Source organism: Homo sapiens, chromosome 3, assembly GCF_000001405.40.
Source record: "Homo sapiens chromosome 3, GRCh38.p14 Primary Assembly".
NCBI classification, from domain to species: Eukaryota; Metazoa; Chordata; class Mammalia; order Primates; family Hominidae; genus Homo; species Homo sapiens.
In genome coordinates, this window is record NC_000003.12 from 164,707,808 (window position 1) to 164,726,543 (window position 18,736).

The following is an 18,736-nucleotide window of genomic DNA, read 5'->3' on the forward strand; positions in this document are numbered from 1 at the left end:
GGCGAAGGACATGAACAGACACTTCTCAAAAGAAGACATTTATGCAGCCAAAAAACACATGAAAAAATGCTCATCATCACTGGCCATCAGAGAAATGCAAATCAAAACCACAATGAGATACCATCTCACACCAGTTAGAATGGCAATCATTAAAAAGTCAGGAAACAACAAGTGCTGGAGAGGATGTGGAGAAATAGGAACACTTTTACACTGTTGGTGGGACTGCAAACTAGTTCAACCATTGTGGAAGTCAGTGTGGCGATTCCTCAGGGATCTAGAATTAGAAATACCATTTGTCCCAGCCATTCCATTACTGGGTATATACCCAAAGGACTATAAATCATGCTGCTATAAAGACACATGCACACATATGTTTATTGAGGCATTATTCACAATAGCAAAGACTTGGAACCAACCCAAATGTCCAATAATGATAGACTGGATTAAGAAAATGTGGCACATATACACCATGGAATACTATGCAGCCATAAAAAATGATGAGTTCATGTCCTTTGTAGGGACATGGATGAAATTGGAAATCATCATTCTCAGTAAACTATCACAAGAACAAAAAACCAAACACCGCATATTCTCACTCATAGGTGGGAATTGAACAATGAGAACACATGGACACAGGAAGGGGAACATCACACTCTGGGGACTGTTGTGGGGTGGGGGGAGGGGGGAGGGATAGCGCTGGGAGATATACCTAATGCTAGATGACAAGTTAGTGGGTGTAGCGCACCAGCATGGCACATGTATACATATGTAACTAACCTGCACAATGTGCACATGTACCCCAAAAATTAAAGTCTAACAATTAAAAAAAAATAAAATCTTTGAGATTAAAAAGGTAGGTTAGATATACATTTCTCAAAATTCCATCTTTAAAAATTAATATATTGTAGATATAAAAAAAATTTAGAACATCCTAATCTAATATTTCTTTAACTGCTCTGATGGAGGCTATTCAGGAATGAAGTTTAGCTTCAAATATTCCATAAAGAAGTAATGGTCCCAATATCTAATGATTTATCTCACAGTTATCTGAGGATTTCACACTGCTAAAAGTTTTATAGGAAAATTACCAGCTGGGAACTAATGTCATTCAAAGGACACATTCTGATCATCAGAGGGCCCTTGATTTTTGTAGCTATGCTGAACCAAGGCTGTATAAAATATGCTTTTCCTATGAGATGCCCTAAATGGCTTTGGAAATAAACAAAGAGTACAATAATAAACTTACTCAGGTTAACAATCAAAATACTCAACTCAAGAGAAACTTTTTTTCACATCATGTCAAGTTCAAGAGAAGAGTTATCTAATTATTGAGGAAACTAGAAATGCTATATTTCTCAGCTTTGTTCTTGTAAAGCTCTATTTTACTGGCACTTTTACAATGCATTTTTTTATTTTCCTTTTTTTCTTACAAACTTTATATTGCTTTAAAGTTAGAAGTTCAGATTTTGAAGAAGTTAGCCCTTTGACAATAAGAATTATTTCTAATGTCGCTCCAGTTTTTAAAGAAACATCACAGTAACTTCTAATCATACACCTTTTCATGCCAAGTGGCAGCTTTTATTCAACTGTGATTCACACTAAAAGCGGGAGTTGCTCTGTTGTTAATGAAGTTTACTAAAGTTACAATTTTAAGTTAAGAATACTATTATGTTTTAAATCAGGCATTAGAGTTAGCTTGAAATAATAAATATTTCATTGTTGTTACTTATTTTAGGAAAACAACTATGATAATTAAGGCACACATCAGATATCTTAGAGCATTAAGACAAGCCTTCATCCAAAGGCCAATGCTTGAGGGACAGACCATTATGTAACATTCTATCACTGAGATGCTGAGATCCACACCTAGATTGACCTTCCTTCTGCTTATGCATAAAGGCTAGCTAGTTAACGGTGCATAAATAAGAGGGAGTGGTAGAGAAACCGTGATGGTAGGAGGTGTAGTAACAACAATATGAACGCAAGTCATAAGCAGCATTATTGGCTTGGGGGAAGAAGATGCCAAAAAATGAATTCAAATCAATTTCACTAGATGTAATTTTTACTTAGCATGATATCAGAGCTGGAATAGTGCTTGGATGGTACTACTGCTGGCCAACTTCCGTTCAACTCCTTAGATTAACTTTTCTATTCTTGAATTTTCATTCCTTTGATTCAAGGACTTATGCTTTATTGAAATAAAAAGACCACAGGGAAGGGTAACGCATTAGGCAGTCTACAGTGATTTTTTCAATAGGATTTACTTGTTAAACGGTTACTTACCAACTGATGCTTGAGTAAGTAGCTCTATCTTATAATAGGAGATAAGCAGACATGAATTTGAATTCTTGCTTTGCTTTTTATTAAAGGTAGCATCCTAGGCAAACTTAAGTATTTGAGCTTAAGTTTCATGATATACACAAGAGATGAATTATTTTGTTATTATGATGAATGATACTATTAAATGTGGTTATATGAAAGAACTAGAAGGACTTGTTTAATACGATAGGTAGTAAAAATATATTAGTTAAATTTATTTAACAAATACCAGCAAAACAAGGTTTATATATTGGTGATGTTTGGAACATAGAGTATTATTCTGAAAGACCTTGGAAGACCTAATGAAATGAGGGTAATGGAATAAGCTGAGGCTTGTAGAGCATATGACACAAATATAAACATATTGTGCATATGAAATATTAGCACAGAGGATGAAATATACTGGAAAATATAATATATAGTTTATCCTGGGGAAGTGGAAATATATCTGAATAATTAAACTCAGGCACACAAATGATATTTCCTTGTTTAAAATTAAGTCCAGCTTAATCACAGAACTTACTGTAGCCCTCCCCTAATTCTTCAGTTTGCACAAAAATTTTGGAAGCTCAGGTTATGCTCCCCAAATAGTAAATTAACCTCCAATTTCCAGTCTGTTGCAATCATCGATGATGGCTCTTTTTGCCAGGGCACTTTGTGCCTGGAGTAGTGTCTACTCCACCTCTGTGCCACCCTTGCAGAATGATTTACTAGTTTCTCATTGAGGCCATAACAAAATACCACAATATGATCTCATACTTAGAGAAACCTAAAGACTCCACCAAAAACCTCTTAGTACTGACAAAAAAATTCAGTAGGGTCACAGGGCACAAAATCAATATACAAAAGTTAGTAGCATTTACATATGCTAACAGTAAACAATCTGAAAAGTAAATCAAGAGTGCAGTCTCAATTACAATATCTACAATTATAATACCTAAGAATCAATTTAAGCAAGGAAGAGAAAGAGGCATACTTCTAGGAAAACTGTAACACACTGATAAAAGATATTAAAAAGCATGAAAACATCAAAAGATATTCCATGCATGTTGTCTGGAAGAATTAACATTGTTAAAATGACAATACTAACCAAAGAAATTTACAGATCCAATACAATCTCAATCAAAATACAAAATACCAGTAACAGTCATTGCATAAATAGAAAAAATATTCTAAAATGTATATGGAACCATGAAAGTCCCCAAATAGCCAAAGTAATCTTGACCAAAAAGAACAAAGCTGGAGGAATCACAATACCTTATTTTGAGATATACTCCAAAGTTATAATAATCAGAAGAACATGATACTGGCATGAAAACAGACACACAGACCAAGGGAACACAATAGAGAGAGTAGAAATAAATCCAAGTGATATGGTTTGGCTGTATCCCCATTCTAAATCTCATCTTGTATTGTAATCCTCATAATCCCTATGTGTCAAGGGTGGGAACAGGTAGAGGTAATTGGATCATGGGGGTTGTTTCCCCCATGTTTTCCTTGTGATAATGAGTCTCATGAGATCTCATGGTTTTATAAGCATCTGGCATTTCCACTGCTTGCACTCTCTCCATCCTGTTGCCCTGTGAAGAAGGTGTCTGCTTCTCCTTTGCCTTCTGCCATAATGGTAAGTTTCCTGAGGATTTCCCAGCAATGCAGAACTGTGAGTCAATAAAACCTCTTTCCTGCCAGGTGCGGTGGCTCATGCCTGTAATCTTAGCACTTTGGGAGGCCGAGGCAGGTGGATCATCTGAGATCAAGAGTTTGAGACCAGCCTGGCCAACATGGTGAAACCCCATCTCTACTAAAAACACAAAAATTAACCAGGCGTGTTGGTGTGCACCTGTAATCCTAGCTACTTGGGAGGCTGAGGCAGGAGAATTGCTTGAACCTGGGAGGCAGAGGTTGCAGTGAGCCAAGTTCACGTCATTGCACTACAGCCTGGAGAACTCCATCTCAAAAACAAACAAGCAAACAAAATAAATCTTTCCTTCACAAATTACCCAATCTCAGGTATTTCTTCATAGCAGCATGAGAACGGACTAAGACAATTATTTTTTGATAAAGATTCCAAGAATACACAATGGGTAAAGGAAAGCCTCTTCAATGAATATTGTTGAGACAACTGGATAGCCACATGAAGAAGAATAAAATTAGCCTCTTATCACACATCACTTACAAAAATCAATGCAAGATGAATGAAAGACTTAAACATAAGATCTGAAACTTTAGAACTACTAGAAAAGAGCATAGGGACAAAGCTCCATGCCTTGACCTGAGCAATGATTTTTTGGACATTAACCGAAAAGTACATGCAACAAAAGCAACGTATACAAATGGGATTACATCAAACTAAAAAGGTTCTGCACAAGAAAGAAATCAACAAAGTAAAGACACAACCCATAGAATGGGAGAACATATTTGCAAACCACCCATTTCACAAGGGATTCATAACCAGAATATTTAAGGGATGCAAAACATTCAATAGCAAAGTCATCATCATCATCATCATCCAATTTAAAATGTGCAAAAAAATCTGAATAGACTTTTCTCAAAAAACATAAAAATGGCCAACATGTGTATGTAAAAAATACTCAACATGACTAATCATCAGAAAAATTCAAATCAATACAACAGTGAGATACCATCTTGCCCCAGTTAAAACTACTTTATAAAAAAGACAGTCAAAAATACATGCTGGCAAGGATGTGAAGAAAGGAATACCATCATTCATACACTGTTGGTGGAAATATAAATGAGTACAGCCACTATGAAGAACAGTATGAAAGTTCCTCAAAAAAACTAAATATAGATCTACCACATGATCCAGAAATTCCACTACTGGGTATATATTCAAAAGAGACCAATATATCAAAACTATATCTGCATTCCCATGTTTATTACAGCACTATTCACAATAGCCAAAATATGGAATTAACCTAAGTGCCTATCAATGAATTAATAGCTGGATAAATAAAATATAGCATATATAATAAAGAATGAAATTCTGTCATTTGCAGCACAATAGATGGAACTAGGAGACATTATGTCAAGTGAAGTAAGCCAGACACAGAAAGACAAATATTGTATGTTTTCACTCATGTGTGGGAGCTAAAAAAATTTATCTCATGGACATAGAGAGTAAAATGATAGTTATCAGAGGCTGAGGAGAGTACTAGGAATAATGAGAGAGTTGGTTAATGGATAAAAAATATAATTAGATAGAAGGAATAATATCTACTGTTCAGTAGCACAAAAGAGGAATTATAATTAACAATAATTTATTATATATTTCAAAATAACTAGAAGAGTGGAATTGGAATGTTCATAACACAAAGAAGTAATAAATTTTTTAGGTGATGGATATTTGGTTATTAAACTTTGTATGCTTGTATCAGAATTTTACATGTACCCCATTAACATGTACAGCTATTATGTATTCATAAAAATTAAAAAAATTGATTAGTGTTGAATTATATGACCAGAGAACAGGAATCTGCTGGGACCTCTGTAGATTTCTGCCTATCACACACGGATATCTTGATAAGGCTGGAAACCTATATGTCTGGGTTTTACCTCACCCATGCAGGTGCACAATAAAATCAATTCTGAGATTTTATCCTCCTCAGGGTTCTTCAAGGAGATGAGAATCCTGCTAATCTGCACAACTTTATTATCCTCATCTTGTAGGAAATCTATACACTCTCTCTTTCTCTTATGCTTCCTCAAACATAATATTCTCAGTGAGGTGAGACTACCACAAATGACTGTTAGAGACAGGTCTTTAGTTGCCTTGGGTTATATAAATTCTAAATTCCCACGCCACCCATTTACTTGAGACAAGAAAATAGAAAAATTCTGGCTACATTTCTGTAATAAGAAAGTAGAAGGAAAGCAAATACAAATTAATATCTCAAAAATTATCTCACAATATTGGAAAAGTAGTGTTTGGACATTATTAATTTTTTATTGAAATTGATCTGAAATTATTGCTTTATTGACAGAAGACTAAATCTTAAAGTAAAATATGGAATAACCAGAACAAAAAAAGTAGATGAAAGCAAAAAGTTTCTTAAAAGATTAAAAAAAGGGTTAGGTGCTTATAATAGCTGTGACAGTTGCCATAGCAAAGTATCACAAATTATATGGTTTAAACAGCAGAAATTTATCTCACAATTCAGGATGCTGGAAGTCTGAGATCAAGATGTTGGCAGCGCCATGCTCTCTCTGAAGGCACTAAGGAAAGGTCTGTTCCAGGCCATTCTCCTAGCTTCTGGTAGCTCCTTGGCTTCTCTATGCAAAACTCCAGTCTTCACATGGTATTCTTCCTGTGTGTCAGTCTCTGTGTCCAAACTGCACCTGTTTATGAGGACACCAGTCACATTGGATTAAGATTTACCCTGCAGAGCTCATTTTAATTTGATTACCTCTATAATGACCTATCTCAAAATATGGTCACATTCTTAGTACTGGGGTTTAGGACTCAAATTTTATCTTTTTGTGATGGACACAATTCAATCCATAAAATTGACTTTCTTTACGCTTAATACGGACATGTTATATTTGCAATATTTACTATTGTGTCACTCTGAATGTTTCCCAGAAAGAGCATTATGTTTGGAGTTTAAAAATTTGGGTTCGATTTTAAGTTCTGCTACTTATCTCCAATATTCAAGTTATCTCATGATTGACAGGAAGGTGGAACCAGGGGGGATAGTGAAGAAAGCTGAGCATAAAGCAGACCCTCTGCAAGCTCCTGGCTTGCCCTCTCTTCCAATGCTCTTCTGGTATAACAAGACAACTAAATAACATAGTCCTGCAGTTGGAGTCTGTAGGGGACCCCAAAGAGAGCTGGAGCCAAAATAAAGCCAAATAAAAACCATGTTTTCTAGAAAAAAGTGTAATAATAGGTTCGTGTGTGTGTGTGTGTATGTGTGTTGTGGTTTTAGAATAAGTGAAATCCTCATGGATTAGAATACTGTTTTTCTCTTCAAGTTTAACTGAAATTGGTTTTTAAAAATCTATGCAATGTATTTTTTTGAGTGGCAGTGAGCCTTCTAAGGAGAGCTAGTAAATCCACTAATAGTGGAAAAGGGGACCTCTCAGTGCTGCTTGCTACTTGCTAAATACAAGATGCTAATTGTCCCAGGTTTTCAATCCAAATATTTTCAATCCATTAGCTCCACAATCTGCCCTGGTACTCCCCTCCATCATCAATCATCATTCTCTACTTAGAGTGTTGAGAACATTTGCTTATTGCTCCCCTTTCCTCCAATCTTATCCCTCCTGAAAAATGATACACAGTGAGGCCAGAATTAGGTGGCAAAAATATAAGCATGGGCACTTCTTAATCTAATTACTATTTTCTTTAAGTAGCTATGGACCCATCCATTTTGCGAGTATATTCATACAGTTTCTCTTTCTAGAATGGCACAGCCCCAGCCGTGTGCAGTGGCTCATGCCTATAATCCCAGCACTTTGGGAGGTTGAGGTGGGCAGATCACAAGGTCAGGAGTTAGAGACCAGGCTGGCCAATATGGTGAAATCCTGTCTCTACTAAAAATACAAAAATTAGCTGGGCATGGTGGCGGGCTCCTGTAATCCTGGCTACTCTGAAGGCTGAGGCAGAAGAATCGTTGGAACCTGGGAGGCGGAGGTTGCAGTGAGCTGAGATCAAGCCACTGCACTCCAGCCTGGGCAAAAGAGTGAGACTCTGTCTCAAAAAATAAAAATAAAAATAAAAATAAATTTAAAAAGCCACAGCCCCTTTCTGTCTGTATACATCTATACAATAATAAAGATTGAACTCAAAAGCCAGCTTTTTTTCCCAAAGCTTTCTTTGAATTCTGCAGGCAAGTTTAGAAGTTTATTTTTCAAATGTTGCCATAAAACCAGTTAATTGTTACAATGTTTTGTCTAGGGCACACAGGAATCTGGATTCGAGAGGCCTAGAGCTGGTCTGGAGTCTATGAACCATTTGGGAGCTAACTTGAATCTAACCCATAATTGGAGTTTAGGCACATACAGACTTGCTTAATATACATAAAGAATACAAAGAACATAAGACAGTGACTCTGCTGTCTTTCCTTCATATTGCATAGTACACATTGCTATAAACAGAAGTTTTACTTTGTAGAGTAGCACAAATCCCTTTCAATCAACCTTATCTCCATCAACATGCCATGGTGCTTACAATTCCCTGTATTTAATTTTCTTCAGTAGAGCCTTGTCTCCAGAAATCCTGTTGAAAGATATACAAGTTTTCTGAGAAACTGTACATTTCCAATTATGTTTATATGTATCTCCTCTCCATCACTCTTCTTCCACTAATGATGCTAAAGCTTTATTCATACACCACTCATGGTTTATGAAGTATCTCTCCACCAACTTTATTAAATGTTGATGATACTATAAGAGTTATTTTCTTAGAACTCTTATGAACACTTCAATTCTATGCTTGTCATCAAATATTTTCCAATATTCTACTGGGCAGAACCCAAATCTCTTTTGAATTCATACCTGTATAACCTACATTGGAGCTATACCAAATAGTTAGTTAAAAAAAAATGACTTGCTCTTCAGTTATTAAAGGATGCTTCAGAATCATGTGAGAGGCATGTTAAACACAGATTGCTGGTCCCCACTCCTAGAGTTTCTCATTTAGTAGTTCTGGGCTGGGTCCAAGAATGTGCTTTCTAACAAGCTGCTATGTGATGCTGATGCCTCTGATTCTGGGAGCACAAATTTGAGAATCCTTTCTCTCAATATTTAGATCCCATTTATTTATTCTTGATAAGTTTTTAACATTGCTTTTCCTTCTATTTAGTTTTTCTTTTTTAAAATATGTTAAATGGCACTTTCCTGAAAATAGGAAGTGTTTTCCAGAAAAAAAATTTTCTTTCCTTTACAAATACACCTTTATAAAAAAGCATTTTGAGTCATATTTGTTTGTCCTTCAATAACAAATACATCTTAAAAAACATTTTGAGACATATTATTATAATAATCATTTGATAGTTTTCCCATTTGTTGTTTTTATATGTCTTTTACATCTTGCTAGATATCTTTTAGGCAATTAATCCCTAGAAGCCATCTTGTATCTGGCACACAGCAGACATACCATATCACTAAATGTACGAATAAATGTTTGGATGGGAGATAAAATTATAGATCGATAGATAGATAGATAATCTGACAGTAGCCCTTTAGCATCATTTAGGATGGATTAATTTATCACAACTTCTAGCATAGAATATAAATATCCAAGAAACAGAAAATCTTCCAATTTTGGAAGAAGATAAAATAATAATTCTGAACAAAAAGGGTTGGTTGGTCAAGGATAGCCTGAGTACAAGCCCTAAGACATAAAAGTCAGAAAGATACTAGTAGGACATGAGCCCACAGGGAAAGGCATTTGAAAGGGGGATAAAGGGTAAATAAAGATATACCTTCCACCGCCTGTCAATATGTAGCTGTTGCACTTTAGTCAGGCAGTATGAAAATACCGTCAAAAGCTTCAGAAAGCAGGATTTTTCCAGATCTCCTCTCTCTTTCTGAGTTGGGATACCCCTTTTATATTTAAACCATAAGTATCGAGCTCTCATCATCTTACTCATTGTTTCAGATTCAACTCGTCTTCAAATAGACTATAACTTGAATGACTCAGACCTGAAAATGGAAGAGATTTCCACTCAAAATATTTTCTAGTCTTACCATTTATAGTAGATTGGCAAATTAGCAGAATGTGATAATTGATCATGTAGGGGAAATTATTCTAGATGACAAAAACAGACATTTATTTATTTTAAAATTTAACTTGAAAATATTGGCTGCTTATGCTTCATATTCATAATAGTTATCAATAAATCATTGAGAAATGTAGTCCATATAAAAATTTATATGGATTTATTTCTTACATTCAAACGATGTGGTAACAAAACAATTACTTAACTTTCTTCAGTTACTCTTGTCTGTTACTCTAACATTTCTTCTCATTTGTCTCTAATATTTTCCTCAGGCTGCTGGTGGTGATTAAAAAAATATATATATATAGCGTTGAAGACAATGTATTCCACTCCTAGCCGCATCTGCTACTTTGACAACTGAATTTAGATTTTTTTTTTTTTTTTTCTGAAACGAAGTTTCGCTCTTGTTGTCCAGGCTGGAGTGCAATGGCGCGGTCTCAGCTCACTGCAACGTCCGCCTCCTGGCTTCAAGCAATTCTCCTACCTGAGCCTCCCCAGTAGCTGGGATTACAGGCATGCACCACCACACCCGGCTAATTTTGTATTTTTATTAGAGATGAGGTTTCTCCGTGTTGGTCAGGCTAGTCTCGAATTCCCAACCTCAGGTGATCCGCTCGCCTCAGCCTCCCAAAGTGCTGGGATTACAGGCATGAGCCACCACGCCCGGCCAAGACATTTTTTAAAATTTCCTTTTAAAAATTATGGATTTATTTCACATGCATTGTTCTACACTGGATCAACTCAAAAATAGTCACATAAAATTTCCTAGGAGATCAGTAACAAAATCTAGGTCATTTTCTGAGCATATATTTTAAAGATAGAGGAAGCTAAAAAAGACGAGAAACAGAAGAAACTGTCTCAAAGAATTAATTTACGTATATAATAAAAGGTTTTCTGTCTCTTATTTAATCAGAACTTTTTCTTGACTTCTCTCTCCCTCTCTCTAATGCATATATATAAAGAAATATATATATATTTATTCATATATAAAAATACATACCTATATGGATACAATAATATTTTTATAGTCTTTTGTAAAAAATTTTATATGGATAAGAGGTAAAAATAGTCTTTTATTTCACTTACTATGCAAAACATTAATAACTTGCTGGGCATTATTCTACTAAGACAGAAAATATGGTTGACCAATAACTATTATTGTGATATTGTGTGTGTGTGTGTGTGCATGCATCTGTTGTGGTGAAGCAATGATAATTCAAAAACTCTTTTAGAAGCTGCAAGACAAAGCGGATTTAGAAAAACAGTGAGATTGAAATGCATCTTCTTCTATTCACTATGCAAACTTATTGCACATTCATTTTTTTATCTGTAAATTGAGGTAATAATAACTAATTTGCATATTTTATTAAGTAGAAACTTTATTATCATCATTTTCAGTATTTAAAGAATTATTACACACTTTGCCTCATACCCCCAGTATTTCTGCTAAACCCTGCACTGAAAGGGTTAATTAAAATTCTTCTTAATCAAGTATCTACTAGTATTATGTACTTGAGAGAAAGAACTCCGAGAAAGAAAAAAGGAGGTATGAAATATCAGCTATTTTACAATACCATGGTCTATGTCTGAATTCAAAGATCTGCTTGGCTGACAATATCTAAGACAGAGAGAACTCACTACAAAATAGGTTAAAAGTAATCAGAGATAAGAGCTATCTCTACATGCATCTATTTTAGGACACATTCATGAAGACACCAATTTGAGAAGCTCTATTTTACTAGGCTAAAATATAAACAAAATAGGAATATAGCTGAAATTCACAAATATACAAACACATCATGTATTTTATCACTTTCACAGCAATTGTCCTTTTCCTGGCTTAGCTCTTTCTTTTCTCTTTAAATACACACTTTTTAAATTTGAACCTAAAAGTTATTTCAATAAAAATATGAAGAAAATAGTAAAAATTGAACCACACCATAATTTACCATAGGACATATATCCACAGACAGTTTTTATTTATCCTTTTTATTTTTTAAACACTTTTATTTTAGGTTCAGGGGTACACATGCAGGTTTGTTATATACATAAACTCTTGTTGCGGGGGTTTGTTGTACAGACTATTTCATTCATGACCCAGGTACTAAACCTAGTACCCAGTAGTGATTTATTCTGCTTCTCTCCCCCACTCTGTTACTCTCCACCCTCAGGTAGGCCCCATTGTCTGTTGTTCCCCTGTTTATGTCCATGTGTTCTCATCATTTAGCTCCCACTTAAAAATGAGGTCATGCGGTATTTCGTTTTCTGTTCCTGCGTTAGTTTGCCAAGAATAATGGCCTCCAGCTCCATCCATGTGCCTGAAGAGAACATGATCTCATTCATTTTTATGGTTGCATATTATTCCATGGTGTACATGTATCACATTTTCTTTATCCAGTCTACCTTTGATGGGCATTTAGGTTGATTCCATGTCTTGGCTTTTGGAATGGTGCTGCAATGAACATACATGTGCATGTCTTTATGATAGAATGATTTATATTCCTTTGGGTATATACACAGAAATGAGATTGTTGGGTCAAATAGCTTCATTTTTATAAATACTTGCTATAGTAGCAACAAAGACAGAATGAACATATAATGAACACCCCTGTATTCACCTGCAACATCTGAATGACAAGTTAGAACACTAACAGGAGCTACAAGCTTGTGTTCACTAACCAACTGAGATAGCATTGTAATTTGGCTCTGTTTTTTTTTCCTTTAGTTAGATATGACAGGACTCTTATACTAATAAATATCTTTTTATTGGAAGAAATTGAAACTAGGATAGTCCACATATATTAATTGGAACCTCCTGTAGTTTCATGTAACTAATTTTACACTTTCAAAGTAGACATGATGAATGGGATTTTTGAAAAGTCTGCACGCATATGGCAGGTTCCAGGGCCAGGGTAGAGGGTTAACATTCGGTAACAGCAAAGACAGCAATGATAATTTCACTTTTTAATTAAGCTATCTGGTAGGTATTTTGACTTATGGTTACTCTCCCCCACAAAAAAAAATTCTCAAATTTTCTCATGAGACTGCAAATTTGAGTCACATTTAGCAAAATTTAAAAGTATTTTAATCCAGACAAAAAATAACCTCCTTGCAACAGGAACAGCAGGAAGTCTCCCTCACTTACTTAATTTCCCCATGTTCTGCTTCTAATGATACAACTTAGAGGAATCCTAAAATGGGAAAAGTAAATTAGCCTGGAGGAGCAAGAAAATTAAACTGTGAATTATTTTTATTTTATTTTCCATATGTCAATTGTTTTCTCTAGACTTTTGCTATTTCTAAAATATCTGATATTTATTTCCTATCTCAGGGAAAATCAGTCTTCCAAGCTATCGCCTTGTCTGTTTTTCTTTTAAAAAAGATTTTGTGAGATACAATTTATATATCACAAAAATCAAAGGTTTAAAGTATCAGTTTCAATAAACTTTTAGTATATGTGCATAGTTCTGAAACCATTACCATTAAAAACCTAGAAATATATAGTCATAAGTATTGTTTTAAAAAATCTTGTTTTTTAAAAATGCTAAGATAATAAAGGAGAGCAAGTATTTATTAACAGACATTTTACAGTAAACTTCATATTTACCATTTCAATTTTTCTTCATTTTTCCCATATGGATTTGATTTATTATTTAGCCTTATTACCCTATTAGTAAACCACCTCATTCTCACCATCTCCCATTTTCAAATATTTACCTTTTTATAAGTTATAGGGTCAACAATATAATTTTATATATATTGTATTATACAGTTTCTTTATAAACTACGTAAGAGAAGAAAGGAAAAGAAATGTGTAATTTTACTGTGCTTCATATTATCTATATAATTACCTTTACCAATACTTTTCACTTTTTCATATGGATTTTAATTACTCTTTTGTGTCACGTCTTTATAGCCTGAAGAACTAGCTTAAGTATTGCCTGTAACACAGATCAGATAGCATTTCCCTCCATGTTTTCCTCTGGGAATGTTTTTATTTCACTTTAATATTTGAAAGATAGTTTTGCAGGCTGTAAGCTTCTCAGTTGGCAGCTTTTTGAATATTTTTTCTTTTGGAGTTTTTTTATTTAATTTTTTTATTTCAATAGTTTTTTGGGGAACAGATGGTGTTTGGTTACATGAATAAGTTCTTCAGTGGTGATTTCTGAGATTTTGATGCACCCATCACCCGAGCAGTGAACACTGTACCTAATGTGTAGTCTTTTATCCCTTGCCACCCTCCATCCTTACTCCCCAGTCCCCAAAGTCCAATGTATCATTCTTACACCTTTGCATCCTCATAGCTTAGCTCCCACATATGAATGAGAACATACTATGTTTAGTTTTCCATTCCTGAGTTACTTGACTTACAGTAATAGTCTCCAATTCCATCTAGGTTGCTGTGAAAGAAATCATTTTTTTTCCTTTTTATAGCTGAGTAGTATTCCATGGCATGTGTGTGTGTGTGTGTGTGTGTGTTTGTGTGTGTGTGTGTGTATTTATATCACATTTTCCTCATTATTCTCTCAAATACTCAAATATGTTTTCCAAACTCTTAGATTTTTCTTCTTCCTTGAGAACACCAATTATTCTTAGGTTTGGACATTTAACATAGTCTAAAATTCTTGGAGGCTTTGTTCATTTTTTAAAAAATAATTCTTTTTTATTTGTCTTTGACAAATTGGGTCAATTTCAAAGCCTTGTCTTTGAGCTCTGAAGTTCTTTTGTCTGATTTTTGATTCTATTGCTGAGACTTTCCAGTGTATTTTGCATTTCTAAGTGTATCCTTGATTTCCTGAAGTTGTGATTTTTTTTATTTATGCTATCTATTTCACAGAATAATTTTCCTTTGATATCCTGTACCATGTTTTTGATTTCTTTAAGTTGGACATTACTTTTCTCTGGTGCCTTCTTGATTAGCTTAATAATTGACCTTCTGAATTCTTTTTCTGCAATTCAGAGATTTCATCTTGGTTTGGATCTATTGCTGGTGATCTGGTATGTTCTTTTGGGAGTGTTAAAGAACCTTGTTTTGTCCTATTACCAGAATTGTTTTTCTGGTTCCTTCTCCTTGGGGTAGACTATGTCAGAGGAAGGATCTGGGACTCAAGCGCTGCTGTTCAGATTCTTTTATTCCATTGGGTACTCCCTTGATGTAGAGTTCTCCCACTTCCCCTAGGAATGGGGCTTCCTGAGAGCTGAACTGTAGTGATCGTTGTTGCTTTTCTGGGTCTAGCCACCTAGGGGAGCTGCCAGGCTCTCGGCTGCTACTAGGAAGTGTCTGCAAAGAGTCCTGTGATGTGGTCCATCTTCAGGTCTTGCAGCTGTGGATACCAGCACCTGCTCTGACGGATGTAGCAGGGGAGTGAAGTGGACTCTGTGAGGGTCCTTGATTGTGTATTTGTTTAGTGTGCCTCCAGTTTAGTATGTTGGCTGGCCTCCAGCCAGGAGGTGGCACTTTCAAAAGCACATCAGCTGTGCTTCTATAGGGAGGATACAAACTTGTCCAGGGACACTTGGTTAAGTATGCAAGTTTCTCAGGCAGTGTGCAGGGCCATAGAGCTCCCAAGAGATTATGACTTTGTCTTTGGCTGCCAGGGATAGTAGAGAAAGACCCCAGGCCAGGGCAGGGATAGGCATATCTGAGCTCAGCCTCTCCTCCATCTGGGCTTGTCGTGGCTGATGTGGGGGATGGGATGTGGTTCCCAGTCCAGTGGAGTTATGTTCCCAGGGGGATTATGGCTGCCTCTGCTGAGTCACAAAGGTCACCAGGGAAGTGGGGGAAAGCCAGCAGTCACAGGCCTGCTCCCATGCAGCCCACAGTCCTAAAGGCTCGTCTCACTCTCACCTTGCCCCTCAAACAGCGCCGTGTTTATTTCCAGACAGCTGGTGACCAGGGCTGAGAACTTTCCCCAGACCATAAGCCTCCCATTGAGAAAGCAAGCAGAATCACAGTTTTTTTTTTGTCATCTCTTGGAGCCTGTAGTGGCAATCCAGTTCCTTCAAAAGTCTGGATTATTTCGGCTTTCCTGGTATTTTCCTGTGGTAGTTCTTAAAGCAAAAGTTCCCAGTGTGGGTCTCCACGTGCTGCTCTGTCCATCTGAGCAGGAGCTGCAAGCTAGTCCTGTCTCCTATCCATCATCTTAACTCCAATCCTCTTTTAGTGTTTTTAATATTTCATTCTACTACCTTCTGCATTTCTGATAATAAACTATGTTTTGATTTTAATGAGGTTCCCTTGTACTACTATGTAGCAAGTCACTTTATTTCTTGATATGTTAAATATTTTGTCTTTATTTTTGGGTTTCAACATTTTTACTATAATGTGTCTGGGTAGGTAGTTATTTGAATTTATTCAATTTCAATTTTATAGAGCTCTTGGAATTACAAATTCATATTTTCAATAAATTTGTGATTTTTTAGCCTTTTTTTAAAATGTATTTTCTGTTCCTTCCTTTTTCTCCTCTCCTAATAACCACGTGGTACCATTTGTTGGTACACTTAATGATGTCCCAAATTTATGAGGTTCTGCTCATTTTTGTTTATTTTCTGTATTTCATTTTGCATAAATTATATCACCAGGCTTGTTGATATTTTTCTTCTGCCAGCTCCAATTTGTCATTGAGTGATTTTTAAAATTTCTTATTGTAGTTTTTAGCTTCAGAATTTTTAATTGATTTCTTTTCACATTTCAATTTTATATTGGTACTCTAATTTTGCTCACACATTGTTTTCCTCATTTCCTTCAGTTCTTCATTCATGGTCATCTTTAAGTGTTCAAGTATATTTAAGATTTAGGAGAGTTTATTTAAAATACTTGTCTATTCAGTCCAATGCCTGGATAGCCTCAAGGAGTTTCTATCAATTTAATTTATTATATGAATGGGCTATTTTCTGTTCCTTTTAATATCTTGTAATTATTTTCTGAAAAATTAGTGTTTTGGATATTATAATGTGATAACTCAAGAAATCACATTCTTCTTCTTCCCAAGGGAATTCTGTTGTTGATAGAAAGACTTGAGACATCCATTTATTTCATGACTTTTTCAAATCATTTTTCAAAAGCTGCATTCCTTGTGTGTGGTCACTGGAGCCTCTGTTCTGCTATCTCTGTGGTCACATTGTTATTGGACAGACATTTACTTAAATGCCTGGGCCAAAATAAAAGATAAACAATAAATACTATTTTCTTAGTCTTTGCAGCTTGCCTCTGAGCTGAGGTACTCCCTTACTAAAGCCAAGCCTCATACAACTCTGCCTTAGCCTTCACCACCTGTTTGTGTGGAGCCCACAGATCCATCAAAGATGAAGGGTTAAGATCCTCTCAGGCATTTTCAAACTATGCATCTGGCCTTGGGCATACACATTGTATTCTGTTTGCCCCATCATATGTGTTGCTCCTTCTTGGCTCTTGTTACTTCAAGAAACTTTCTCCTCAGGCTTCTCTTTCTTAGGCTTTTAAATCTGTCTGCTGCTGGCTTTATCCAATATCCCCTTCCTCAAGTAGGCACAGTGTACATCACTGAATTTTTCAACAGACACACTGCTAATACCTGATACCCACTGAAGTACAAAAGAGAGGCAGGAAACCAAAGGCCAGCTTCTTTATCATTCAGGAAACGACAAGACTGGTCAAAACACATGGCCATAATATTTTAAGCATAAAGTTTATATTAGCTCCCTGGTTCCAGCAAACTATACTGGGAATGCAGGCCACCATCCACATGAACACGCACCCACCGGGAAATTGAGGGATAATAAGCTGGTGAGTGAAAATCCCACAACATTCTCTTACAGAAATTCAGCTGTCTTTTTCTTCATTAGTCACCTGTCTGCTATACATTTTGGATTAGATTTTATGGATTCAAAATAGTTGATTACTTTAGTCTTTCCTGCTTAAACTTAAAAGTTCAAAGTCCAATGATCTTATTTAAATACATATAAATCAGATATGGGTGAGACTCAGAGTACCATCCATCCTGAAGCAAATTGCTCTCTAGCTATGATTCTGTGAGACCAAAGGATTATATGCTTCCAAAATATAATGATGAGACAGATACAGAATAGACATTCCCAATCTGATAGAGAGAAATAGGAAAATAAGAAAGCTGTGACCAGTCCAACAGGGTAAATCAATGCCACTGGACCTTAAGTCTTGAGAATTATTATATTTGGCTCAATACCCTGATATTCAGCTGCATTGGAAAGGAGATCCTACCTTTTGGGCCCACTAGAGTGTGGGTACTATCTGCAGACACACTGGGGCCTCAGTATTGTCACTGCAGTCTTTCCAGGCAGGCTTTAGGTCAGTAATGCTTTTGGCAGCCCAAGTCCCAAAGCTTGGTCCAGTGGCCTCTCTACCTGGACCTCACTTCCACAGAGCTATGTGCTTGGTCCCTGAAGCTCTCCTGGGCTCCCCTGGACTCTCTCAACCCCACAGCTCTGCAGGAGGTCCTATCTCTTGAAATCTAGATTTCCAGCTTGCCTGGAAAGACTGCAGGGACAATACTGAGGCCTCTAGTGGTTCCGTAGATAGTACCCACACTCTAGTGGGTCCAGAAGGTAGGATTTCTTTTCCAATGCGGCTGAATGTCAGGGTATTGAGCCAAATATGATAATTCTCAAGACTTAAGGTCTAGTGGGATTGATTTACCCTGTTGGACTTGTCACAGCTT

General features: G+C 36.0%; 1 long non-coding RNA gene across 1 annotated transcript in view; it reads right to left on the reverse strand.

Annotated features, from left to right (window-relative positions):
* Nucleotides 1-6,287: 6,287 nt before the first annotated feature.
* The window catches only part of LINC01324 (long intergenic non-protein coding RNA 1324), a 117,386-nt gene continuing 104,937 nt past the window's right edge, over nucleotides 6,288-18,736 (reverse strand). The window contains exons 3-4 of the long non-coding RNA NR_126405.1: nucleotides 9,765-9,984; nucleotides 6,288-6,675 (exon numbers count right to left, since the gene is read on the reverse strand). This is a non-coding gene — a long non-coding RNA (long intergenic non-protein coding RNA 1324). The remainder of the gene's footprint in view (nucleotides 6,676-9,764; nucleotides 9,985-18,736) is intronic.